The sequence below is a fragment of the Homo sapiens genome, chromosome 2 (genome assembly GCF_000001405.40).
Source record: "Homo sapiens chromosome 2, GRCh38.p14 Primary Assembly".
Taxonomy (NCBI): Eukaryota; Metazoa; Chordata; class Mammalia; order Primates; family Hominidae; genus Homo; species Homo sapiens.
In genome coordinates, this window is record NC_000002.12 from 104,393,492 (window position 1) to 104,420,694 (window position 27,203).

The 27,203-nt window shown below is 41.0% G+C and overlaps 3 long non-coding RNA genes and 1 pseudogene across 4 annotated transcripts in view, besides 2 other annotated features; 1 reads left to right on the forward strand and 3 right to left on the reverse strand.

The window, feature by feature from the left end:
- LOC100287010 (uncharacterized) overlaps positions 1-14,841 on the reverse strand; it is a 29,483-nt gene extending 14,642 nt beyond the window's left edge. The window contains exons 1-2 of the long non-coding RNA NR_037885.3: positions 14,775-14,841; positions 334-460 (exon numbers count right to left, since the gene is read on the reverse strand). This is a non-coding gene — a long non-coding RNA (uncharacterized LOC100287010). The remainder of the gene's footprint in view (positions 1-333; positions 461-14,774) is intronic.
- Positions 1,501-2,883, reverse strand: AHCYP3 (adenosylhomocysteinase pseudogene 3; annotated as a pseudogene).
- Positions 12,980-18,221, forward strand: LOC124908058 (uncharacterized). 2 transcript variants are annotated; one of them, XR_007088676.1, is made up of 2 exons: positions 12,980-13,284; positions 17,690-18,032. It is a non-coding gene; the product is annotated as an uncharacterized LOC124908058 (long non-coding RNA). The 2 variants fall into 2 exon arrangements; XR_007088675.1 differs by having other exon boundaries at positions 13,011-13,300; positions 17,690-18,221.
- Positions 18,222-18,660: 439 nt separating this feature from the next.
- LINC01831 (long intergenic non-protein coding RNA 1831) lies at positions 18,661-20,540 on the reverse strand. Its single transcript, NR_135589.1, has 2 exons — positions 20,468-20,540; positions 18,661-19,178 (listed from the first exon to the last, which is right to left on the reverse strand). It is a non-coding gene; the product is annotated as a long intergenic non-protein coding RNA 1831 (long non-coding RNA).
- Positions 21,399-22,237: an enhancer, noted in NCBI's record as "OCT4-NANOG hESC enhancer chr2:105031348-105032186 (GRCh37/hg19 assembly coordinates)". NCBI's record gives its function as "activates a minimal SCP1, AML or CMV promoter by ChIP-STARR-seq in naive H9 embryonic stem cells {active_cell/tissue: H9 hESC(naive)}" and the evidence as "EXISTENCE:reporter gene assay evidence [ECO:0000049][PMID:30033119]".
- Positions 22,544-24,496: an enhancer, noted in NCBI's record as "VISTA enhancer hs1131". NCBI's record gives its function as "enhancer in: midbrain (mesencephalon)[3/8] | forebrain[5/8]" and the evidence as "EXISTENCE:transgenic organism evidence [ECO:0001131][PMID:17130149]".

Sequence of the window (27,203 nt, forward strand, 5' to 3'; positions counted from 1 at the left end):
GCCTGCCAAGCTGTGTCTCCGACTGCCTTGAGGCCAATTAGATCAGCACATATTAATACCCTCAAAATCCAACTTTCTCTGTTTACATACATGGACGTGTTTATTACTTGCCACCAGAATTCAGTGAAGAAACCATAATCATAAATACAGCTCCCTAAAGGCAACATAGATCGACTGAAAAAAATTACTAATAGTCGCTAATAATTAAATTATTATAAGTTTATATTCATCACATAAATGACTTTGAAGGAAAGAAAATATGGCAAGGGCAGAAAATGTAAACCTGGATATGCAAAGCATCAAAACAGATGCCTTGTAAAGACTGTAACTTACCCGCCGTGTGACTTTGACTCCATTGCTGTCAATTTCCTTTGCACATGTTCTTGCTCTTCTGAGAAGGATGCTAGGCACAGTCTGGGTACCTCTTAGCCTCTCACATAGAGAAGATCTGCATCTTTTTCTTTTTTTAAAAAAAATTGTAAATGAGTTAAATTCATCTATTCAATGACAGTCTAAGATTGGGTTAAAAACAGGTTATTTACAAGAGACATGTCTGAAAAGAGAAGAGTTCCCTCTTTACTCATTCTTTCAAGCCTAAGGGGTTACCTGCAGCCCTCACACTGCAGACAACCCCTTGTCTTCTCAATGCTTCATTGGTACGTGACTATACCCCCTTATTCATACCACACATTGTTGGCAGTGGATTATTTATAAAAAATAAAGCCTCAAAATTGTTTTAGGCACCAAGATTTTTATTTACTCACCTTCCTGCTTTCTTTAAGGTTATAAACATTATATAAATATTATAAATCAGATTACTCTATTTTGGACCCAGGGTTGTGATAGGAACCCTCTTGTTACAAAATGATGGCAGATATATGCTGGCTTTGTGTTTTTCTGGCCCCTTTCAACCTCTGGCTGTCCCTTCTCTGTCCTTTTTCAGTTGTCCTTTAGTGGTCTAGTCTAACCCCTGTAAAACAGAGACTAAAAGTACCAACCTCATTGTTATGAGGTTTAAGAGAAGGCCCAGCACCAAGCCAGGCTCTCAGGAAAACTCAAACAGTTCCTCCTTGCCTTTGAATATAGCGCCTTCCATCTGTCATGGGCTGAGGAACCACTGAACCAAGCACACGGGTATAAATCCACAGGCCAGGTGAAGGCCTAAGTGGTAAGGTACATGGGCTTTGTAACTCCACTACCAACTTCCGGGCTTAGGAAGGACTGACTTAGTGAGCAGTTCCAAGACCACTGAGCTCACGGTTCCCTGTGGCTGTCTCCCTTGTACCTCCATCCTGACCAGGGCTTGAGGAAGGGCCTTTCGATTCCCCCTTGCCACACTTGCAACAGTATGAGGGGTGCAGCAGAGGCCAAAAACTGAGGGACTAGCACCAGGGAGTCTATGGCAGACACTGACAAACCAATCGCAAAGTTGGTGCCATTTGCTCTTACAGAGGAGAGGCGGGGCCTGGGAAGGACAGCAGCTGGAAGGTGAAGGGCAGGCATGGCTCTCAGTAGCGGTTGTGATCTGGCTTGAAGGGGTTGTCTTAGGACATACCCAGGTACTGAGCCTGCTTCTTGGTCAACTTGTGAGTTTCATATTCAGCTTGCCCAGGTGGGATTCAGCCACAGCCTCATCCAGCTTCTTGGGCAACAAGTGAATCCCACCAGGGTACTTGTCTGGGTGGGTCCACAGCTCAATCTGCACCGTCGCCTGGTTGGTAAAGGAGTCACTCATCACAAAGCCGAGGTGGCCCATGGAACAGCCCAGGATTACCAGCAGACCCTCAACCAGCAGGATGGTGCCGTGCTGCTCTTCAGCCAGTCCTGGCCAGCTGGGGCTTGATGGTCACCTTCTCCACAGTGTTCGCGTTGAGCCACTTGGCATTGATCTCCACATCAAAGGGTTACACATGATAGCATCATCCTTCATCTGCTCAAAGTGCTGGCCAAGGATGATGTCAACACAGCCTGTGGCAGTGACAAAGATGTTGCCCTCCTGACAGGCCTCATCTACCACAGTCACCTCATAGCCCCCCATGGCAGTCTGTAGCAGGTTGATGGGGCCGATCTTGGTGATGACGAAGGGGTCCCCAAAATCCCACAGGGCCTGGGCACAGCCCTTGCCCATGTCGCCATAGCCTGCCACCATGGCTACCTTGCCGACAATCATCACATCCGTATCCCTCTTGATGCCATCTATGAGGGACTCCCGGCAGCCTTAGAGGCTGTGAAACTTGCTCTTGGTGATGGAGTTGTTGACGGCAGGTACCTTCAGGATCCCCTTGGCCATCATCTTATGTAGGTTGTGGACCCTAGTGGTGGTCTCCTCAGAGATGCCTTGGATGCCCAGTAAGAGCTGTGGGTACTTGGTGTGGATGTGGTTGGTGAGGTCACTACCATCATCCAGAATCATGTTGAGGGGCACGTCTTTGAAGTAGTGAATGTTGGATGCATGACAGTTACCCCTTGCTTGTTTCACCCTTCCAGGCATGCACTGGAATGACAGCCTTGGCAATGGCAGCCATCACCTGGTCCTGGTGGAGAAGATGTTGCAGCTGGAACACTGTACCTCAGCATCCAGGGAGACAACGGGTCTCAGTGAGGATGTCTCTCTCCACGGTCACATACGGCCAGCCAGAGATATGGGTGCCCTTCAGTGGCTTGGAGCCCAAGTACAGCTCCCACACACTCATCAGACCCAGCATCTCATTCTCCGCAATATCCAGGCCCTTGTGTCCCCAGGAGGCCAGGTCGATGTCAGCAACTTTATAGGACAGTTTGTCAGACATGCTGGCAACGCTTCCACAAAGTGTGATGGACACGGAGAAAGGGGGCTGGGCCTCAGAGAGGGGACAGGCATGGGGCAGGTGGCACTGAGCAGGGCAGATCTGCATTTTCTAGTCCTTATCAGCTTCTGACCTGGCTGCTCATGTTTAATGCAACAACATTGTTTTCATCAGGCTAAGCTAGATTTTGCTGCAGTGACAGGTCACTCAAAAATCTGTGTGGCTTTTCACACACACAAAATATGTTTCCCACTCACACCACATATTCAACACAAAGAACACAGGGAGGCTTGGCTCATCCTAAACACATGAAGACCTGGCCTAACGGAGGCTCCATTTGGATATATTCTTCCACAGTCTCTAGAGATGAACATGGGAATCAAGTAAACGACACTCAAGCTCTTAAAGCTTCCCTCCCAATATAAAATAATTACTGGCTAAAGCATGGCCTTACCTAACTCCAAGAAGGTAAGGAAATGCAATTCTACCAAGTGCCTAACAGGAAAATAAAAATATCTGATAAATGGTACTGATGATTTCCTAAAGTACATCCACAAAATAAGGAGCTGACATTTTTTATTTTGAGCTGGAATATACTCCAAGACTCTGAACTGACAAATGATAAAAAATATAATATATACGGCCAGACACTGTCCCCTGTTTGTTAAGCAGTGGCAGAACCACCCCTGCTACCATTCCAGTGACCATCCCCTGCTTCCCAGTTTATATAAGAGGATTACAGAGTAAAGAAGGATGGAAGGGCTCTTGGATCCTCATAGATCTGCAGTGTCAGGAATGAAAAGGGGTCTCCCTCTCTTCTCCATAATCAAATAAATGGGGCTTTATGAGACCCTGTGGTTTGATGAGGAGTGTCTACAAGGAGGGGACACCAGTGCCCCACTTCCCAGCTGAAAGCTTGCTGTCATTCAGAATTGGAAAAAACTACTTTAAAGTTCATATGGAACCAAAAAAGAGCCCGCATCGCCAAGTCAATCCTAAGCCAAAAGAACAAAGCTGGAGGCATCATGCTACCTGACTTCAAACTATACTACAAGGCTGCAGTAACCAAAACAGCATGGTACTGGTACCAAAACAGAGATTTAGATCAATGGAACAGAACAGAGCCCTCAGAAATAACGCCACATATCTACAACTATCTGATCTTTGACAAACCTGAGAAAAACAAGCAATGGGGAAAGGATTCCCTATTTAATAAATTGTGCTGGGAAAACTGGCTAGCCATATGTAGAAAGCTGAAACTGGATCCCTTCCTTACACCTTATACAAAAATTAATTCAAGATGGATTAAAGACTTAAACATTAGACCTAAAATGATAAAAACCCTAGAAGAAAACCTAGGCATTACCATTCAGGACATAGGCATGGGCAAGGACTTCATGTCTAAAATACCAAAAGCAATGGCAACAAAAGCCAAAATTGACAAATGGGATCTAATTAAACTAAAGAGCTTCTGCACAGCAAGAGAAACTACCATCACAGTGAACAGGCAACCTACAAAATGGGAGAAAATTTTCGCAACCTACGCATCTGACAAAGGGCTAATATCCAGAATCTACAATGAACTCAAACAAATTTACAAGAAAAAAAACAAACAACCCCATCAAAAAGTGGGTGAAGGACATGAACAGACACTTCTCAAAAAAAGACATTTATGCAGCCAAAAAACACATGAAAAAATGCTCACCATCACTGGACATCAGAGAAATGCAAATCAAAACCACAATGAGATACCATCTCACACCAGTTAGAATGGCAATCATTAAAAAGTCAGGAAACAACAGGTGCTGGAGAGGATGTGGAGAAATAGGAACACTTTTACACTGTTGGTGGGACTGTAAACTAGTTCAACCATTGTGGAAGTCAGTGTGGCGATTCCTCAGGGATCTAGAACTAAAATACCATTTGACCCAGCCATCCCATTACTGGGTATATATCCAAAGGACTATAAATCATGCTGCTATAAAGACACATGCACATGTATGTTTATTGCGGCACTATTCACAATAGCAAAGACTTGGAACCAACCCAAATGTCCAACAATGATAGACTGGATTAAGAAAATGTGGCACATATACACCATGGACTACTATGCAGCCATAAAAAATGATGAGTTCATGTCCTTTGTAGGGACATGGATGAAATTGGAAATCATCATTCTCAGTAAACTATCGCAAGAACAAAAAACCAAACACCGCATATTCTCACTCATAGGTGGGAATTAAACAATGAGAACACATGGACACAGGAAGGGGAACATCACACTCTGGGGACTGTTGTGGGGTGGGGGGAGGGAGGAGGGATAGCATTAGGTGATATACCTAATGCTAAATGACGAGTTAGTGGGTGCAGCACACCAGCATGTCACATGTATACATATGTAACTAACCTGCACATTGTGCACATGTACCCTAAAACTTAAAGTATAATAATAATAATAATAATAATAAAAAGAATCAGAAAAAAAAATTAAACCTTTCCTTTATAAATTAAAAAAAAAAAGAAAAGAAAATGCAAGTCGGCCAGGCGCGGTGGCTCAGCCTGTAATCCCAGCACTTTGGGAGGCCGAGGCGGGTGGATCACGAGCTCAGGAGATGGAGAACATCCTGGCTAACACGGTGAAATCCGTCTCTACTAAAAATACAAAAAATCAGCCTGGCGTTGTGGTGGGCGCCTGTAATCCCAGCTACTCAGGAGGCTGAGGCGGGAGAATGGCATGAACCCGGGAGGCGGAAGTTGCAGTGAGCTGAGATTGCGCCACTGTACTCCAGCCTAGGCGACAGAGCGAGACTCCGTCTCAAAAAAAAAAAAAGAAAATGCAAGTCATATAGGCCCACCACTAGAGAGCAGCGAATGAGAGTGCCCTCAGGGAAACCTGACAGTATATTCTGGTTGTAAAGGGCATAGAGACTGTCAAGACTAGTGTCTACACCTGGTCTAGCTGTTTCTGAGGTGGGAAGGACTGTGGAAATAGTGTTTGGTAGCAGAGTAGACATGGATATAACTTTCCCTAGTTTCCTCAGTCCTCAGAGGCAGGGGGAAAAAAAACGGAATTTAGTATTGGACATGACTCCATAGAAGGAATATAGGGATAAAAGGAGGGGAGACCCTTCCCCAAGAGAGTGTTGAATGAAAGCACAGAGCACTAAAAGGGCCCAAGGGACTTCCTCCCTTTGAAGGAGTCCTCAGCAGAGGGCCACCCTAAACAAACCCCTATATCTTCTATGCAGAGGCCATTGCATCAGAAGAGACCACCAGCATCAGGTAAAACAAGACCAAGCCAAGAGTGAGACCAGGACAATCTCCCCAGCACCAATGGACAACCATGTGTGAAAGAATATCTCTGATACTCTTATCCCTACCCCTAACCCTGTCTCAAACTCAAAAGACTAGGCCTACCCAGAGAAATGAAAGAAGAGAAGAGGGGCTGGGCATGGTGGCTCACACCTGTAATCCCAGCACTTTGGGAGGCCGAGGTGGCCGGGTCACGAGGTCAGGAGATCAAGACCATCCTGGCTAACAAGGTGAAACCTGTCTTTACTAAAAATACAAAAAATTAGCCAGGTGTGGTGGCAGACACCTGTAGTCCCAGCTACTCGGAAGGCTGAGGCAGGAGAATCACTTGAACCCAGGAGGTGGAGGTTGCAGTGAGCCGAGATCATGCCACTGCACTCCAGCCTGGGCAACAAAGCCAGACTCCATCTCAAAAAAAAAAAAAAAAAAAAAAAGAAAAGAAAAAGAAGAAGAAGAGAAAAGAAGAGGAGAAAAGAAGAGGAAAGGCAAAACGGGACCCATTCCATGGGATTGAAGAGTGGGTAATGAAAGAGCAGTGTTTCTCTCAATTATATTACCTCTTTCTAAGATTTTTAATAAAACATGATAATTATGACAGTATCAAATGTTGCAGCAAAATGCTTGGTCACAGCCACTTAGCATTGACATCTCTACTAATAGAACTTTCTATCTAAGTCTTTTTTTTTTACCTGAGACGGGGTCTTGCTCTTGTTGCCCAGGCTGGAGTGCAGTGGCACGATCTTGGCTCACTGCAACATCCGCCTCCAGGGTTCAAGCAATTCTCCCGCCTCAGCCTCCCGAGTAGTTTGGATTACAGACGCCTGCCACCACACCAGGCTAATTTTTTGTATTTTTAATAGAGAACGGGGTTTCACTATGTTGGCCATGCTGTTCTTGAACTCCTGACCTCGTGAAGCACCCACTTCGGCCTCCCAAAGTGGTGGGATTACAGGCGTGAGCCACTGTGCCTGGCCCCCTTCTATCTAATTCTAAACCACTCCCCTGGCAAGTATTCCAGCACTAGCCACGTCATGAGGAAGCCTGCAAATGTGTTCTGCTATTGTGAATTACACATGGTTTAATTTTGTTTTAATCAAATTAATTCCTCTCACATTACATGAGCTCAAAATTATAGTGACAGTCTTAAACCAATTGTAAATGCAGACTTTGATTAATCTTTAAAAGGGCAAGTTCAACAGCATTTCATAGAGCAAAGAGGTGAAGCAGAAAAATAATTGTAGTGTTCCTGTTTATTTAAAAAAAAAACTACTTCTCCAGATTTCACATTCCTAGTGATAAAGGGAAATTGTAGCACCTATTTATACTGTGTAATATGTATCAAGCATTTCCAGGTTTTCTCCACTTTTCTGTAAAACTTGGAAAAGGTATTGGATCTTGGCTCACAAATACAGACCTTGAATATTTTAATTGGGAATCACACAATCATACATATGCTATATTAGATTATTTTTCTATGAAAATTCAGTAGCTGAGCCAATACGAAAACTCCTCAAATATTTTAACAAATGTCCAGGTGCTGTCATCCCATTTGGTACCCTTTGCAATTTGTCTTTTACATTGAAGGTTTCTTGCCATGTCGGAATCAAAAGCATATCCTGATGTGAATTTTTGGCCAGGTGAAAAGCTTTAAAAACGTTTTAGGGGAATATTGAGCGTCTCTTAATAGAGCGAATTTTGTTCTCATCATTTGTTTTGGCCCCACCTACATAGATTATCCTCGCTAGTTCTGCCTTCTTATATTCAGAAGGGCAAAAACAATATTTAAAAGAATATATTGTACAGAACAAAGTCTCTCTAGAACACAAGGAGGAAAACATTACGTAAAAAGGAAGGGGCAAGATGGAATTATATTTCTTTCTAGACCTATGACCTGAGTTCCCTAGAGCAGCACTTCCAATAGAAATACCAGGTAAGCTGCAAATGAGAGCCGCATATGTAATTTTCAATTTTCTGGTAGCCACATTCAAAATAAATAAAAAGAAACAGGTGAAGTTAACTTTAACAATATATTTTATTTAACCCAATACTTTCAAATTATTGTCATTTTAACGTATGATAACATAACATGTATTAATGTGGTGCTTTAAATTCTAATTTTTGCACGGTCTTCAAAATTCAGTGTGCATTTTACATATACAGCACATTTCAAGTGCTCAATAGCCATGTGACATTAGCAGCCACCTATAGCCAAAACAGCTCTGAAGAAGAAGCTCTGCAAAAGATCTGTTAACGTGCATACAAGTAGCCTCTATACCTATGCTGGTGGAATTCTAATGCTAACGCTAATAATAATGACTGTAATAATGATAGAATTAGAATACTCTTAATTTTCATTATGATTGAAGCTCTGTAACAGGTTGTTACAACGGTGTTTAGGAAGCAAGCATCATCTAGCACTTACAGATGAGGAAACTGAGGTTCAGCACTTGCCTGATGTCACTGAGCTGACAAGAACTCTCTAGCTTGGATGGAATCCAGATCAAGCCCACAGCTGTGTTCTCTCCCACACACCCAATGACACTCATCCCAGAATGTGGTCCTGAACAAGACCAGTGTGGGGCTAGACCTTGCTGCCAGAGTACTTAGATCACTGGCAGGTTTTGAGGAAACCTGGGGTAGGCTTTGTGTTTCACGTATCCCAGGATTTCTCCTAAGGACTGCAAAATAAGTGAGGGTATGACTCTCTCAGGGATTAAGTCAGCTCTGATGGAATTCCTGAAAGTCTGTATCAAGTCATGAATGTCCATTTTCCCAGATGCTCAGGAATCACTGGAGATGCTTACCTCTTGGGGCACGCTTAGAGCACTCAGTAATTTAACTCATCTAAAGTCACACAGATGATAACCGCAAGAGCTAGCTGTACACCTCTGCCTGCCTGATTTTCCACAGCCTCCTTCGTGTGTCCTTTTTGGCCTGTACCTTGGAGAATCATATCTGATGCTTATTTATTCTCACCAAAAAACAACAACAACAACAACAAACAGTGAATAGCCCTTCATCCATACAATGTCTTTGCTCGGTAAGATAGAGAAGAGCTCCCAGCCCTCAAAAAAAAAAATAATAAATTGAGGGCAGTCTCATAGGAGATTTCAACCCCAGGGTTGTAACAGGCCGGGGTTTATGCTCGGGGTTAATAATGCTAATAATAATGATTGTAATAATGATAGAATTAGAATACTCTTAATTTTCACTATGATTAAAGCTCTGTAACAGGTTGCAACAACCTGTTTCAATATGAACAACAAGCTTCAATCATAGTGAAAATTCAATCATACTGAAAATTGAGAGTATTCTAATTCTATCATTATTACAGTCATTATTATTAGCATTATTAACCCCTGAGCATAAACCCTGGCCCACTGAATGCTTGACATGTCCAGACACATCTGTGGGGCTGGTGGGTGAGCCCTCTTTGCACAAAAGCTGGAGCAGGCTATGGGGATGGGACAAGTGTCCTCTGGGTTGTGGCAGGAAGGACAGTTCATCTGAGCAGAGCATGCTGCTTAATACTCAAATTTTTCTGCTGCTCACGCGTCAGTGACTCCTGGCTGAAACCTGGGGTATGAGGCTGCAAGGTAAGAACTCTAAGTGGTCCCCTCACTGCATCTCTACGGGCATTGACAGTGCAGCGACTTTGACAGGACAATCAAGAATCATTGCATGGCCGGCCCAGGCACTGCACCCACCAAAGTACACATCCTGGGAGGGCAGGGGGCACGGTGGGGCCTTCCATGGGCCTCAGCAGCAGGGGACAGCCCTCTATGGCTCCCAGCTGCAGAGATGCTGCCTCTGACACCAGGGGATCTCAGAGGCTTTATCACAGTAAGTCATAGCAGGAAAGAAGGGTAACCAGCAAAGGAGGCAGTCATCCCTCAGACCCCCTTTTAAACACAAGAGAACATTTCAGGGATGCTGAGACAGAGATCATCTACTTTGCCTCGCTTTTATCTGAGTATATTCAGACTAGGGTTGCCAGATTTACCAAATGAAAATACTAGACACCCAGTTAAATCTGAATTTCAGATTAACAATGACTAATTTTGGTGTAAATATGTCCTATGCAACATGCTACTAAACATACTACCAAAATGTTGTTTGTTGTTTATCTGAAATTCAAACTTAATTAGATATCCTGCATTTTATCTGGGGTGCATAATCTGACCCCATGCTAGTTTATACACAAAATATGAGTTTCTAATTCTTTCACTGTGAGACTTGGATGGCAAATAGCATGGCCATTAAAAGGCCCAGATGGAAGTCAAAAAGCCCACATATGAAATTAGCTCTGACACCTATCAAATATGTGGCCTGAACAGTTGGAATTGTTTATCTCAGCTTGATTGTCTTCATTTGTAAAATGGAAACTGTATCTCTTCCTTCAGCTATTATTAGGATTTAATGAACCAATAAGTGGTCAGTAAGTAGAGGATATAATTATTCCAGAAAATGTTCTTGTGTAAATATCAAAAATAATCAACATTTATTATTGTGCATATACTTTGTATCTAATGCCCAATTGCTGTGGGATTATCCTAATTGCCTTTCAATCTCATAGAGTAAGTTTTTAAAAAAATTTTAATAACAGTGGGAACACTTTAAAAATGATTTTAGATCTTAAAAGTTCTGATATTGGATACCTTAGAAATTTTAGGAAACAGAACCAAGTGATTCAGGAATAAAATGGATGGCATTCTATCTTAATAATAAAAATAAAAATGTTACTTAAATTTAAAACAAATTACTGCAGTATTTACAGAAGGGTCATGCATCAAAAATACTAAGCTTTGGAAAATACTTTTTTAGCATTTATAAGGTACAGCAACTGTTCCTGAAATCCTAGATTCATCAATGATGTGTGTTCAGTGTTCAGACAAGCTCAGTCACTGATATAATCATTGATACATTAGACCAGTGTCTGAGAGCACACACACACAGAAATACAAACAACACATACACATACAAATGTACTTTTCTTGAAGCCATAGAGAATCTCAGAATTCTGAGAGGGAGAAGATGTGCCACTATTTGACAGTAACACTTGGCAATAGTTCTGACAGTTTGAGGAGAAGCCAATCTCAGTGGTAAAACCCTTTTATGGGCCCTTGGCTGGGACATTAAAATAGGAGTATAGTGAACGAGAAAAGCAGGGTTGGCGAGAACATGAGGCAGGCTTCACTTTGTTTATTTCTGCCTTCACTGTAAACTGTGCTCATGGCGGAATTTACATTGTGCCAGTTTTGCGTCGCCTCGTAGAGTACAGACCAGGGCAAGTGAAGGGAGATTGGAGAAATGAGAGTTAAGGGGGTTCTCTCTTCTCATTTTAGCTTTTAGCAAAATTTTGAATTTATCAAATGGCTTTAGCTTTGCTAAAGTCATTGAGCTCCTACTATATCCCAAGAGCTAGGTTAGCGCTTATCCTTGCCCGTGTGCAAAATGGGAATAATAACCATATCTATTTCATAGGGATGTCCTAATGATGAAGTACAAGAATGCTTATAAAGTGCTTGTCACCAGCGGCTGGCAGGGAGTAAACATTCAATAACTGTTAAGCCTAAAACTGAATGGTAAATTTAGAGCATTATAATTATTGAGCAGTGAGTCAGTACAGATCCAGGATTCAAACTGGGCAGCCTGGCTCCAGAGCCAGCCCTCTTAATCACTATCTTGCACTGTCGCCATCAATTATCCATTAATTTTCATAGAATATTTGAAAGTGCATCATTGTGGTTATTCTTAATATTGATAAAATGAGGCACAGGGAATGTTAATGGTTTGGCCAAGATTTTAAGAAAAGGGAAGCTTCATCTCACAGCCACCATTCTCCACAGTAGTTTGGTAAATAAACCTTAATCAATGCGCACAGCACACTATTAGAGAAAGTACTGTAGGAAAAAATAATTAAATAATTAGAAGACATGGTCCCCACATGGAGTCGGCTTACTTTCTGGTCAGGAAGATGAAGCCAACACCGATGACTCAAAAAAGAATCAATGAGTAGTAATGCACGCCATGTGAATACATGGATATAAAATGTGCATACAAAGAATTGAAAGGAGAAAATTGAGAGGGAGCAGTCCCAGAAGCTTCCAGGAAAAGGGAAATGTAGAGCCAAGTTTAGAAAGAAAAGAGGGGTATGGCTTGGCAGAGTCTTCTCACTCCAGCCACCTTGCCAATCAACAAATCCTCCTTGTCCAAGGGCCGTCCCCAAAGGGAACCGTGATGGCGGGTGTGTGCGCAGCTCCAGCCTGCAGCCCTCCCCGCGAGGAGAGCAGGAGACAAGTCAGTCTCCGCTCAGAAAATGGCCCTTGACAAATGGCCAAAAGAATTCACCAGTGTGGTAGAAGATGACCCATTCCAAGAGAAGGGAAAAAAACCTTTATATAAAGATGGAGTCGTGTAAAAAATCCCAACCCTCCCCGCCCCCCCTTTTTTTTTTTCCTGTGGCATTGTAAATTATTTCCTTGCCAGTCTTAGAATGCACACTGGCTTTTCATACTTCAATATCTGGATTTACATGTGCTCTACAGTGTACTCCCTTTTTACCCTTCCCCCTTTCTGTGCTCTTATTCCCACCCTCTTCCTCTTCCCACACCACCCCAAAAGACAAACAAAAATAAAACAAACAAACAAACAAATATGTGGAACTTCTTACTTGGAATGATTCAAGAGTCTCTATACTATTAAGACACTGAGTAATGATTGGCTGCCTTCCAGGTGGCTCTGCAGTCTGTTAAATAGCTCAATTAGTGAGCAGCGCTCTCTCACTCGCTCTCTTGCATGCACTCTCTCTCTCTCTCATTGAATTTTGCCAAGTGCATGCTGCATTGTTGGAAGGGGCAGTGCCAAATTAGCCTAGCAACATCCCTTTATAGCCCTAACGTCTGGGACACCTCAGAGCAGCAGAGAAATCACCGTTCCCCAGGCCTTGCCGGGACTACGAGGCAGCAGAGAGCATTGTGGCAGGACGGTTTTTCCTTCTGAAGGGTGGTTAATGAGCAATGTAGGTGAAGACCCCTGAGAGATACCTGGGCATCCTGCCCACCCAAATAGAAGACCGCGTTGAGATGGCAGTCGGAGATGGAGCCCATGACCAGAGAGAGGGACAGAGGAGAGGAGCGCGGGGACAGTGCCGGACACAAAGTAAAAGCGCTGCCAGTTCATTTAGGTCTGAATGATTTTAAGTAAGCCTTGAATCTTTTCTTTAAAAAAACAATAGCAGCAATATAATTCTTAAACAAAATATATAAGCCAAAAATGCCAGTGCAATGTAAATCAGCTGTCTGCCTTTAACACCGTTTATTCCAGAGCTCAGCCATCAATTTCTCATTCTGTCTTCCTATAAAAGAAGGTTTAGGCACACACCCTCCACCTACCAAACACACCTAAAGTGAGCCCTCAAATTGGTGCTATATTTATGTCTATTTGTGGTTCAACCAGACATAAACAGTGTCAGAAAAGAACAAATGAGAAAGCTGCATTCTATACAGAGTACACAAGCCCTACATAATTCACAACCCCTCAGTTGAAACTTGTTGCAGAGCTCTGAAAATTCATACAGAAAGCAGGACATTCATGTTATAAGGTAAACATATTTAGTCTGTTGTCTGTTTCAGTAACACATTTATTGGTACAGGCTATGTGATACTGATGTATTCATTACATCTTGGCATTTACAATATACAGTATTTCGCTGTTTGACTCATTACAGCCTTCATACCAATTAGGTGAAAGAAAATATTGTTTGCAAAAATACTTTTAGGGGGATTACATTTATCCTAGAATATTATGTATCACAATTTTAGAAACATTAAGCCCCAACATTTACATATAATTATTATGGTTATACCCTAGAGAAGATATTTAAATGTCTCTACCCTATCTATTGGGTATATGTTTCCCTTGGAAGGAAAACCCTGTCAAACAATTAGAGTGCCGAAAGAAGTGAAAATATTCTTGGTTGCTAAATTGGAGTAAAAGTTGCCCCAAGATAAAAATTTTTAATGTAAAATTGCACTTTGATTCGGGTGGTTTATTTTTGTTATGACATTATGGGAATTTTATTCTTTGAATTTTAAGCATAAAATCATACAACTCAATTATCAAGATATTTGCACTGAGAAAATCAAATACTGAAATTAGACCGGTAGATTTTTATGTGGACTTGAATCTGCTTCTTTGTAATTTCCGTGGGTACTTGGAAGTGTTTTGCCATGAATGCTAATGTGCTTTGTGTTTTAAGTAGTGATTCTGCACATTTTGAAACACAGGCAAATTTGAGCTGGGGATACAGGCAGAGCACTTTGTTGGATGCTGCTGAAGGAAATCATAAAGGTCCTTCAAAAATGAAATCTCTAAATATGTATTTTTCAGATGGAAAGACATTGTACCTATGAAAGCCTGCCTATCTTTTGTCTGGATATATACCTTAATAAGAAAGATAAAGTTAATTTTAATTTTAATAGTAAGTCCTCACTACCTTCACACATAGCCATATTTTCTAAAGGGCAGACCAAAGGCAATAAGAGATACCTGTATAAGTCACTAGTAAAATACTGCTTTAGGATAATCCCTCATCTGTTCCCCCACCCCTTTTTTTTTCTGAAAAAACAAGGAAGGAAAATGAGAGAGAGAAAGAAAGCATAATCAAAAGCCTACATGACAAAGAGTTGACAGTCAGATTCTGTGGTAAATGATTCCAGAGTCGCTGGCCTGCGGAGACGCTGAGGAAGTCCCCAGCAGACCTGATTAATTCCAGTCTCTCCAGCTGCCAGGGGAGCAGAGGGTAAGCAGTTTCGCAGAGAGGAGCCTATTACCACTACTAGGCTGAAATAGATCTAATCAACTCACAGCCGCTCAAAAGAAAACTTTACAGGTTTAGCTCACTAAGGCAGTGCTTTAAAATGATGACTACAAAGGACCATGGGAGTCTAAAAGCATTTAGTCTTTATTGCAGCTCAAGGAAATTTTCTGCTGTGGTTAGGCCATGCTAATTTACTGAACATGACAAAGCCTCCTAGACTGTGTGACATCATTTGTTTAAAGGCCCCAGTGCTCATACTGGACAATTTCGAATACTACTTTTTTTTTCTTCAAAAACAGTTAATTTGTTGATATTTCATCGGTTTGGGCTAATTACATGCACCATTATAAATGTCTGAACTAACCTACTTTAACATTTAATTTAAACAACAATGCTCTGTAATTTGTCATGGTGCTCACAAAGTGATGAGTATTGCAACTTTGTTTTCTAAGCAATCAACATTTTATCAGTGAATCTTAGGAGGAAACTCCTGGCAGAAAGGAGATCCTGGGAATCTGATACAGTGTTCACTTCCCTTCCCCAGCATCAGAATTTAAGTTATATAGCAATTTGTGTCAGAATAGTCGAAATGGATTGAAAACTATATGAACTAATAAACACTATAGCAAATAAAGTTCTAGATTTTTAAAAGTATTTTGTACCCTAGGTTGGGTTTTATAACCACCTTCTTTTTAATGGAAAATAAACAGAGGGAAAATTATTAAGGCCAGATTGAAACCAAGTAGCCATTTGTCTTTTTTTTTTTTTTCAGTTGTTGGAAATCTTAGTAAAGATTTGCAGAGTAAAATCTGCTTTTGTTTAAATAATCAAGATTTGGAAACTGCACGAGTTACATGATATGTTGTTTAGAATGCTGTGTGTGATAGCAAATATGCACACACATGCTTATGAAATTCATTGATTACTAATGAATTCCCTGATCATACCACCAACAGAAAATTAAAGGGGAGTACTCAAGTCATTGAATTTAAGTTAATTACAGATGATAATCTGCAAACTGCTTCCTTCAGAAATTTTAAGTCCAAGGAAGATACAGTAGAACCCAAAAGATGAAGAGTGAGGAAGCAGAGATAAGATAAATGATGGGTGCACGTTGTGCACATGTACCCTAAAACTTAAAGTATTTTAAAAAAAGATAAATGATGGAAAGTTGGAACTTTTATCGTCACTTCTGAGCCTCTCTGTTTAGACATTATGTCAATGTCTAACCCCCATTATGTCCTGGGGGTTAGAGGTGTGTGATGCGGGGAGAGGGTGCAGCTGAGCAAGGCTACTAGGCATGCCACAATTTCAGAAAAGCAAAATGTCCCAAGAAAAAGTCCCAATATTGCACTGGGATCTGACTTTTAGATGTAGAGAAACACACTTGCCTGATGATCATTTGCATAGAACTGAACACAACACCTAGTAATATCGTTAGTATTGTTATATGAGTTATAGTTGTTATTCATATGCTCAGAGCTCTTGATCATCAGTTTTTTTCCCCCTTAAAACAGATTTTTGAGCTATTTATCCCTAGCTGATTCAGAGGTCATGGAGGTGCCTGGACTTTCCTACATGTCAAGGAGTCCAAGATGCATCATAAATACCCATATTTGAATATGGATTTGGAAATGTCTAAATTTTATCAGAACATTACCTTTGGTTCTGTTATGTCCTTGAACTACATCACTGGAGTTCAAGCAGGATTTGTGTTTCAGATCAGCAAAACATTTCCTTTTCTGAGGCTTTTTCAATTTTGTCTCATTCGAATAATATTAAACTACTTAAAATGTCAACACCAAAAATCCAGCAGTACCTGTAGACTAGATATAAATGCCTATGGAACCACAGATCTGAACAGGTCAGTCCTCCAGGCACCAAGGGCCAGATTTACGTCTATCTCTTGCAGTGACAGTTGGTTCCTACTGGCCTCAAATGTGCAAGCAATTAGACAGCTGTATGTATAATTGGTTTGACATGCTCCGTTTTTTCTTCCAGAGAGAAAAACTTCCTTTAAAAATTTCAAGGATGAATTTTTGATGATATAGATAGCTTTTTGAAATATGATATTTTATCATTTATTTGGATCTAATGGAGATCCAAATAAAAGTGTGATATTTTGAGAAAGTATTAGATGTGTATGGCATCAGATGGTTGGCTTGATCCTTGAATAGAGAACTAGGCTGTTGGAGCCCAGGTCATGAATACCCATATCAAAATCTGCCTGTTTGTTTCAGTCTGTTCTAAAACCTAATGACAACCTAGTACTTAGTATTGTTGGAAAAAAGAATCGTTGATGGGAGGATAGGCAGGGCTAGGTAAGAGAAAAATAAAAAGATTAGTATAAGCCTGTATCTAGAAAACAACTCAAAGCAAATGACCTACCGAAGCCCAACCAGTAGTATCATTTTCACCTACAAACAAGAACTCTTGGAACTTTCTCTTTGTTATTTGGAAAGAAAAACAAAAGTACTAATAATCAAACTCAAGGTTGGATAGCTTTAAGAGTAAGGAAAAAAAGAAATTACTCATGAAGTTAGAACACTGAAGAAATAGAAGTGAGATGGATCACCACAGGAAAATCCTGAATGAAGCAAATGTTTTCTTGAGTACAAGGATGTATAATTTTAGGAAAGATTGAGCTATTTGCCATCTTGCTTATGTATATGTTGTTGGATTTACTTATTATGGATTTTACCACTTTAGTGTCATGGTTAGTGTTAAAGTACGTGGGGTGTGTGTCTAATTGATGTCATGCCTATCCCAGGAAGTCACTAAGGAGCAGCCCTGTCACAACAGCCTCCAAAGGACAGAGAGTGAACCACAGAGGAAATTCGAATGCATGTACAGTGGGTTCCATTACCAGGGAGCCTGAGCTTGGGACAAGAGGAGCTCATCACCACCAGAAAATACTACCAACATGCCCAAGAGTTTGTTTCCCATACTTTTAAAGAAAAAGAAAAATGGATGGTTCTGAAATCACCTGGGTTTGTTTTATTACATTATATCTTCTGGCAAGATCAGTGATGGCAGATGTGATTCAGCAATAGAAGCATGGCTGTACTGGTAGGTTTTTAAAATAAATTCAAGGGCTGTACTTTCTGACTGGCTACCTCCCTGTGGTTTGGCTTTTTAATGGAGTTCAATAGGCTTCATGTTTCTTATTATGATTTCCTTTAAAATCTCTGTATACGATAATGTTTGTGCTACTGGATATTGTTCTAGTTTTATTTAAATGCCACATCTTCAACACAGTATAGTAAAGATGTGCTAATTAAACTCAATCTATTTTACATCAATTAATTCAGACTGTGATCTCTCATCAGATTGCATATGTTAAGTAGGACTTAGGGCTGGTCAACAGATGTAAACTATTCAGAAATGTGGTGAGAAACCAACTCCAATGACAATTCCTGAGCCAGATTTTTTTTTTTACTTGTTCAGATGCTAAAGGATTGTATTTCAGTTCAGCTACATATTGGACATCAGAGAAGGCTACATTTTATGGCTCCCTTGAGTATATGTCAGTTGTAGTTATTTTAATTATTTCTAACATTTAGTTCTCCTGAAATGGCCACCCTTACTTTGATGCTTGCATTGATGAAGGCCATGATCACTGAGCAGCACGGTGCTAAACTGAATGAGAATAGCACAAGGTGACTTTATATACATTACACACATCCCTTCCTTCCAGGAAGCGGTCCGCCTCCCCACCAAAAACACAAGAAAAGCACCACCAAATTTGACTTTTTAATAGACAGTTTCTGCAAAAAAAGCTACACAAAACAGTAAGCATTAAAATTATTAATAGCCCTGTTTCTGTGTTCTTGGGAGACAGTGACAGAGTTTACATGCTAGCGAATCTTGCATACGCAAAGGTCAGGCACTCCATGCCTCAAAAGACAAATCCACGAAAATATGAAGACCACCATATGTAAGACCCAGCATTCCCATCACATCTCTCTAGTGTGAATGTGGGGAAGTTTATTGGTAGAGTGAAGTTTAGAGTTTCACACAGAATTAAGAGGTTTCTTTGAAAAGTCTATATGGTTATGTTCCTAGTGACAGAAAGAGTGATGTCTGAGAGTGAAAAGGCTATGCAAATTACAACTATTCCAAATCAAAGTTGAAGTCCAAAGATCTCTGGCCAATCAAAGGGTTCGTTTCTGCCCCCTGGTGGATGGAGAGGCATTTCCACACGCCCATTATGTTAGTTGTAAAACAGGGACTTCAATGGGTTTTCTGAGAGTAGGTTTCTGAAAAAGACAAACAGTGATGTGGTCAGATTTAACCAATTTTCTTTTAGTGAATGCTTTGTAACAAAGTAAAAACTTAATATGGGCAATTCTGTGCTTCCTCTGTCCTTTAGCATGTGACATGACATTTTTATTGGGGCAAGTGGCTCTGTGTATTATGGTCTTGTGTTACTCTCCACCATGTGTTTCTCTCCATATCAATTTCTTTTCCTTTCTCATCTGCTCATATCCAAAATAGAAGCTAAAAAGAGAAAGGAGACTTCCATCTCCCATTATTTTCTTCCTTGCATTTTTTTTTTCTGGCATCCGTTCTCCTAAGTTTCACTCCTTTTCCTTACCTTTTCCTCCCTGATGTCCATGGTGGTATTTGCTATGCTATGCTTTCAACAGGTGGATGATTTTATAGGACTAGCAACTTACAGTTTTCATTTATTTTCCAGGTCAAATAAAGCAAAAACAATATGAGAACAAATTAATAAATGCATGATAGTATGGCATCCAGAGCGATTTCATGTAGATTTTGCCACCCTTATAGAAGTATTTTTGAGTGTGATAAGCTCTGAAATTTTATAAAATTCTTGCCAAAGGTAAAAATAATATGTAGTGATGACATTCCCTTTTCACAAATGCACATATTGTAGAACCTGTGCCTAGCCACAGGATCTCACAATCTTTTGGGATTGGCAATTCACACAGTGCAAAATCCCATTTGCAACATAGCTTTCCCCAATCCCATGGGATTCATTGTGAGAGCATTTTAATATAATAGTTTTCTTACAGTTGAGAACTCTGGAAAGATAGCCCCTAGTCTAAGACAGAGGAACATTCAGCAGTTGTGATAATGAATTGATAGCATAAAAAAATAGTTTACCTTTTACATTTTTATCCTGCATGTGCATTTCTTACCTACTTTTCTCTACATTTTTGTGATTTCTTCTATTAGAAGGGCACAGGAGCACAGACTTTGGATTGCTACCGCATTCATCTATTTCTTTTAAAGACAAGAACTGGAATCATACTCCTTTAAGAATAATAGGTGTGCCCCTACCCACATCCTAGGAAATCCACTTCACTTCTTCCAACTTGTAATAAAACAACGATTTATGAATATTGTCTCCTTTTTCGGTAGACACCTCTTTTCCCTGCTAAGGGTTGCTTGAAGACAGATCAATGTTCCAATTTAATTAAAGTGAACCCCCAAGGCCCAGCCCCAGCTTTTTTTTTTTTCATTTTTATTTTCAGAAGTATCGAGTTCACAAGAAAGTGATTCTTTCAAAAATGGTACGTACGTTTCCAGGAAGAAATACCAGACGGAGTTCCGTATGCTTGCCTTCCACAGAGAGCTCACACTTCAAAATGTCCAGTGATCTCCGAAAACTGAGCAGACCAAGAGTGTCAGCTTAATTATTGACTAAATATCGATGACAATACTAACATTGACATGTGGACAGGAGGAGTAAGAGATGTGAAAAATACAAAGATGACACAGAAGCCTCGTTGACCCAGAACTAGACCCTTTCCCAACTGTGAACACCAGGCTGGAAAATCATAGATCATTCTTAGAGCAGTCATCACTTTTAAAGACAAAGTTTTGATATAAAGGAGAAAGAATCTCTGCTCTCTATGTTTAGTGGTTATTCAGGGGTTTTGACGTGAACTCTTTCAAGAGAGCCTCCCTTTTGTAATCACCAGGATTTGTGGTTTGCACAAATCTTTTCAAATCTTGTCATCGTCACACATACTTACACATTTAGATCTTTACACAGCTGTAAGTCATAAACAAAAACAACAGAACTTTTTTTTGGGGGGGGGAATAGTTCAAATTAGAGCACACTTCAAATGAAAACAATCAAATGCAAATGAAAAAGTTTAGTTCATGTATAAGAAAAAAGGTGAAGCCAACCAGGTGTGTTTTGCCTGGTTCTTTTTTGTATAAACAGATCGTTTTTTTTTGTATAAACAGATAACTGACTTTTAAACCCGCAGACCACAACATTTTAATTCAGTCATTGTCATTTGGAAAAAAAAAAAAAAGGATGAGGAAAAAGCCACAGACAAATTAGGACCAAAAGTAACCAATTAGGACAAAAAAAAGTAACCAAATTTAGCAATTTAAAAAATTGGCTTTTTTTTGGTAGATGAATTATCCTCATCCGTGATATACATTTAAGAATGAAACTTACATTAGCCCCTTAAAGTGGTCCTGCGACTTTAATTATTCACAAAGTACACAAATTTAATGAGTTTTTAAATATTAAAACTCTTCTCTATTGTCACTACGGTGAGCTCTTAATTTACAGAGCAATTAAGTCAGGACCCTCATTTATCAGGACATGTGCGTTTGTTGAAAATGTAGTCAGTTTTTATTCATTGATGCTATGGAAATACTGAGGTGAAATTAATGTGTGCCTTCAGAGGTCGTGCCGGTGGTGGTGGGGAGGTAGCAAGGAGCAATACGTGAGATAAATAAGTAACTGCTATTCCCCGATTTCTCTAGAGATTGCTGAAATATTAAGTGGCACAATGGTTATCGTTCTCAGCCAAAATGCTTGCAAGAAAATGCCCCCTGAGTTGTTCTCTGGCAAACATCTGTCATGGGTAGTAGCTGAGAAACAGGGAAACTTCAAAGCAGTACTTTCTGATGATTAGCAGAGTGTTGAGTGTAATGTTCTTACATTTTAATGCAAACCAAGTGTTGATGAGCTGAGAGGGTAGAATTAAAAAGTAACCCAAATCTCCTTTGTTCTTCAGGAGGGGACTGACAAGAACGTTTGCAGTCGGTAGTGTTCCTCAGTACTCATCAATTTGTGAGCCACAAGAAATTCTAGCTCTGGAGGCGGATGGTGGGAGTGAAGCGGACCAGCCGGCCATTCCCTGTTGCCTACCTGTGGTGGCTCTGCCCAGTCATCGGTGTCCACTGTTCAGCATGCATTCTTTATGGACAATCTTATTCAAGAAAATAGTTGCAAAAGAGCAAGACAAAATTCAAATGATGTACACTTGAACACTTGCCTACAGAGGTGACAGTTGCCCCAAAAAGTTTGCTGTAAAGTTTGGAGGAGGAAGACACTTCCTGTCTTGAAATATAAATATGAGTATCAAAAATATCTGAGCGATTTCGTCAATATTTCAGGCAGTTGTTGGAATGATTTGTACATGAAGAGCCTGAATTCTTTGCTGAACTGGTAATGGGTAGATACAGTCTAATACATCACTATTTTTGTAAAAACAGATTTGATAGTGCAGCAACCTTCGAGCATTCTTTAATCCTGGAACTCCACCATCCACCCTGAAAACATTGGAAAAGAATACACAACAAAAAACACACAACCTAAAACACACAACCTAACAAAAAAACTTCCTAATGTGTACAAATGAGAACACTATCTTCCTTACTGTAGTTTGATTTCTACCAAATTCTAATTTTAAGCCAGCAGACAAACAGGTTGTCCTATCTATTCCCTTAGGCTAAGGCTAAAGGGAGAAACAGGCATCTCATTTCTAACTCCTGGTACATTTGGACTTCGGGCCTCTAGAGCACCAAAAAGTTTGATGGGACCACGCCAAGGGGGTCCCCTGTAACCAGGAGTTGGTTAATATCCTCCCATCCCTCATTCAGACAGGGAACAGAGGCAAAAAAAAAAAAAAAATAGCAGGGCAACAAACGCTGCCTTCTGCAAATGCTCTGTAATAAATTGTTCTTTCAGTGGTGCAGAAGACGGATTTTTCTTTCCTTTGCCTCTTTCCTCCTTTGCGGGGAAGCACCAATGGGCGGCTTGCTTTCCCACCTGGCCCTGGCTGCCTGTGCCCATAAATTTGCCTATGCAATGCCTGTTTACGGGTCGCTGATGGAACATGGAGACGGTGCATTTTGTAAGCGCCGGGTAGATAATCATGGTAATTGATGTTTGGAGCTGTGAGCTCCTAGGAGCACAGGGTCTCTTTCTCCCAGTGAGGCCCTGCTCTCTGTTATCAGCCCAGCCCATAATTAAATATCACTCTTTTACAATATGTTTCAGGCTCCTTAATGAGTCTAAAGCAGAAATAGTCACCTCTTTCCCCTCGGAGCTTTATTTGCTTGTTATTAAACAATGTTATTGAGCTGCCTTCTTTCCCTGTGTTGCCAAACCTGCATCATTTCCGTTTTATAATTGCACAATTAGAGCGAAGGCTTTGCTTCCATACATCAGCAGGCCCTGCGTGTGCCTGCGTGTGTGTCTCCGTGTGGAGAGGAGGAAAGGGAGAGAGCACGGAAAAATTAGGTGTTCGTATAGACTACTCAAATGCGTCTTATTTTCATTAACTGCCAGATTTTGCAAAATGGGAAGCGATTTATCATGAGCCATTTTCTTCTATCAACCACCTCCACCAACCAACACCATGACTTTCGCGGTGACCTTGTGCTGTGTAGCGGAGGGTCCAATTTGCTCATTGTTCCTGGCTTGCATAATCCTATGCCCCTCCCCCACAGCCTTTTTTTCCCCCAAGCAAAATCCAGTCATTTATATTCCGAGGCTAAACGGTATTCTTTTTGCCCCCAAAGCTGGCAAGCTGTATAACACTAGTAATTCCATCTAACGAATTTCCAGGGAGCTCCTCCTCTTACACACGCACTCTCTCTCTCTCTCTCTCTCTCTCACACACACACACACACTCCTCCACGCACACACTCACATGCACCCCCCTAAGCTGCTCTAAGCAGTGTATTAAGTAGCTGAAGAAAATCCATTCACATTCTGCTGTGTCGCTTTCTTCTCAAGTCATGAACCCATCACAGACTTTTTCTAGCTGTAGGTTGCCACGGTGAAGATTTACAATGCCAGTTATTCATACATCTGCCTTCTCTCTTTCCCCCCCCTTATTCTTAAATCCCTTGGGCGAGGGCAACCTTGATACTGAGACTCGTAAAATTCATGCAGGCTTATCATCCTTGGTGAGGGCTCCAGGCGTGCGCCCGCATCCCCGCCAGCTCCCCGCCATGACGCGTGGGTGGGCCTGGGCTGAGGCTTTTCTTTCTAACTCCGAGGAGGGGTTGGGGGAAACAGTGCCATGGGAAGAAACAGAATAGAAAACTTCCATAAATATGAAACAAAAGCAGTATTTGTTTCACTAAGCATTTATTAATTTTTTTTCAATTACTTTTGGGTCTCTGGAGGCCACTGTTTCTTTGAGGCCGGAATGTGAAATAAAACGTGACCTTAGTTTGGGTAAAACAATATTAGAAAGTCCACTCCTCAATGTTCAAGACCTCATAGAGCAGCAACATATACTTCCTTCTCATGGTATGTCCAAGAATCTATGGGAGGAGGCCTCAATACCTTTTAAAATGTGCAGTTGATGGTTACTGTGTGTTTTTTGCTGTTTTTTTTTCACTTATTTCTTCTCTTAATTATTAGGAAGTTCATTATTCTTAAAGAACATGAAGAGGGAAAAATAAATATTTTCAACAGCAAACATTAATATTTTAATGAAGTCATTGAAATTTTCCCCAGTCTGAAAATGAGATTAATGTTATGGTAACATAATAGAGAACTATGTTTTAATCATAACCAAAAAAAAAAAAAAGACTTTAAACATATTGTAAGAAAATAATTGAGATCTTGGCAAGATATCATCTGGAAGACTTTTCTAAAACTCTATGAAATTGTTTTTAGGTGGATTGAAATACAGTTCTGTTTCAGAATTGTGGAGGGTTTTTTTTAATCTTATTTTTTCATCCATTAATTTCAATATTATAAAATACGGTTTCCTTGGTATTCTTGAATTTCTCACGTTTGCTTGGTGCCACATGTCCAGGGAGTCGCCGTTGCGGGTTCCCTTCAAGGGGCAAGTGCCCACTGCCAAGAGGCCCCAGAGGCCAGGCAGGCCATGCTGCATTAAGCAAACGGTCTGGGCAGCCAGAGGACTGACTTCTTGAGGAAGAAGTCAGGGCAGCCCTGTATGGCTGGTGGCAATGCTAATCCAAGAGCCATACTCTTAATGTAGTTGGAGGCTTTGTCAGGTGCCCCACAGACTGCCTTTCAGATAGTGTTCAACTTTGAGACAGGCTGTGGATGTCTACCCTTCTTCAATGAGTATAAGTAAGTGTCAGGAAAAAGAAAGCCAAGCCCATGCGGGGGCCCTGACTTCTACTCACCTGTGTGTGAACTGGAGCCTGTGACCTCTTACGCCTCAATTTCCTCCTCTAAAACCAGGAGAGTGTGCTGTCGTATCTGTAAGGATCCTTTCATGTCTTACATAATCCAATCACAAATCAATTAAATATAGCCAATAACTAGTTTAATCTAAAATTTCTCTTCTCCCAGCTCAATACACAGAAGTTTCCCCAGGGTGTAGTTGGAGCATGATCCTCAATTCCCTGTGCGCTGGGCTCTGCCTTAGCTCTTCAGATCCCTAGGGAACCATTTAGGAAGTTGCCACAGTGAGCATCAAGGTGTTCTGTTGGCTGAGAACATCAAGAAACCCAAGGTTTTGATCCAACTTCCACAGAAAACTTGGAAAGAATCACATGTAGCATTTGTTGTACTCTCTGAGATTATGTTCCTGGAAGCAGGATAAAATGAGAGCAACACAATAAAAGAAGTTCTGTTGTACTTTATTTTTGCTTTTTATTTTTTTTCCCTTCTGGCCTAACCTCTCTTCCTTTAGGTGGAAATTTCTTCTTCCAAATGACCTCCTGGTCCACTCCTCTCCTCACAGCTCATGGGCACCATCGGCCCCCCATCTCAGGGGCATGAGCAGGTGGATCTGGCTTCCTTCATTAGCCCTGATACACCTTTGAACACTGTCACCTAGAGCGTTTTACTGCCTTGTAGCCCCACCTCTTAAAAAACCCTCCAACCTGGCGTTGGCTCACGCCTGTAATCCCAGCACTTTGGGAGGCCGAGGCGGGCGGATCACGACGTCAGGAGTCCGAGACCAGCCTGGCCAACATGGTGAAATCCCATCTCTACTAAAAATACAAAAATAAGCAGGGCATGGTGGTGCGTGCCTGTCATCCCAGCTACTCAGGAGGCTGAGGCAGGAGAATTGCTTGAATCCGGGAGGCGGAGGTTGCAGTGAGCTGAGATCATGCCACTGTACTCCAGCCTGGGTGACAGAGCATGACTCTGTCTAAAAAAAAAAAAAAAAAACTGACCTACTTCTTTATCCAGGGAATATGATTGATATTTCAGTTAAACTTTCAAAATAACTATGGCTGCTCACCAATAAAGCATTGACTTTTATAGTGTACAATTCCATCCACCTTTCTTTTTACCTGGATCCTAAAGCTGGTATGGAAACCTGTCAGCAAACCATTGTACCCAACTGAGATGCTTTTCCTTATGCGACTACCAAGTAAAGGTAATAATCCCAATCAACTTTTCCAGATTCTGAGGGTCAAGTATGATAATATGTGAATACTTCTAAATATTCTGGAATATACTATGTTGATATATTATTAGTAGTAGTGGTATTAATCTATTGAGGACTATGATGATAAACAGGATGGCTTTCAAATATTTTTGGCCATGACCTACAGGAAGAAATGCATTTTATATATATTCCAGGACACATCTGTGTAATCATAGCCCACACAAAAGTTTCAAACAACAATATACCTTTGCTATCTGTGAAGCATTCTGATATTTTCTATCCTATAGATAGATAAACATTTTCACACCTCCATGGGTCCTAGCCTACAGTTTGAAATGCATGGATGTGAAGTGCCGTGTTAGTCTGGCAGAGACCATCTTGAGCCTATATCTATATGGAGCCTTTGTGTGAATTAGGAAAGGGCCTACAGACCTTCGTCCCGGGCCAGAGCCTACAGCTTGGGAAGTGGAATTGGGCAGGATGTCAACTCCTCCCTGCCCCCTCAGCTGGAAGCTCTTATAGAGTCTTCCACCTACACAGCACTGCATGGAAAACCAGTCAATATTGAAGGCTGGGGGAGGGGAATGAGCTGAGGTATCTAAAGGCATTATGTGAGATTGTGAAATAGATGTTGGTGTAACATGAATTGTGTAAGGTGTTTCCAAATCT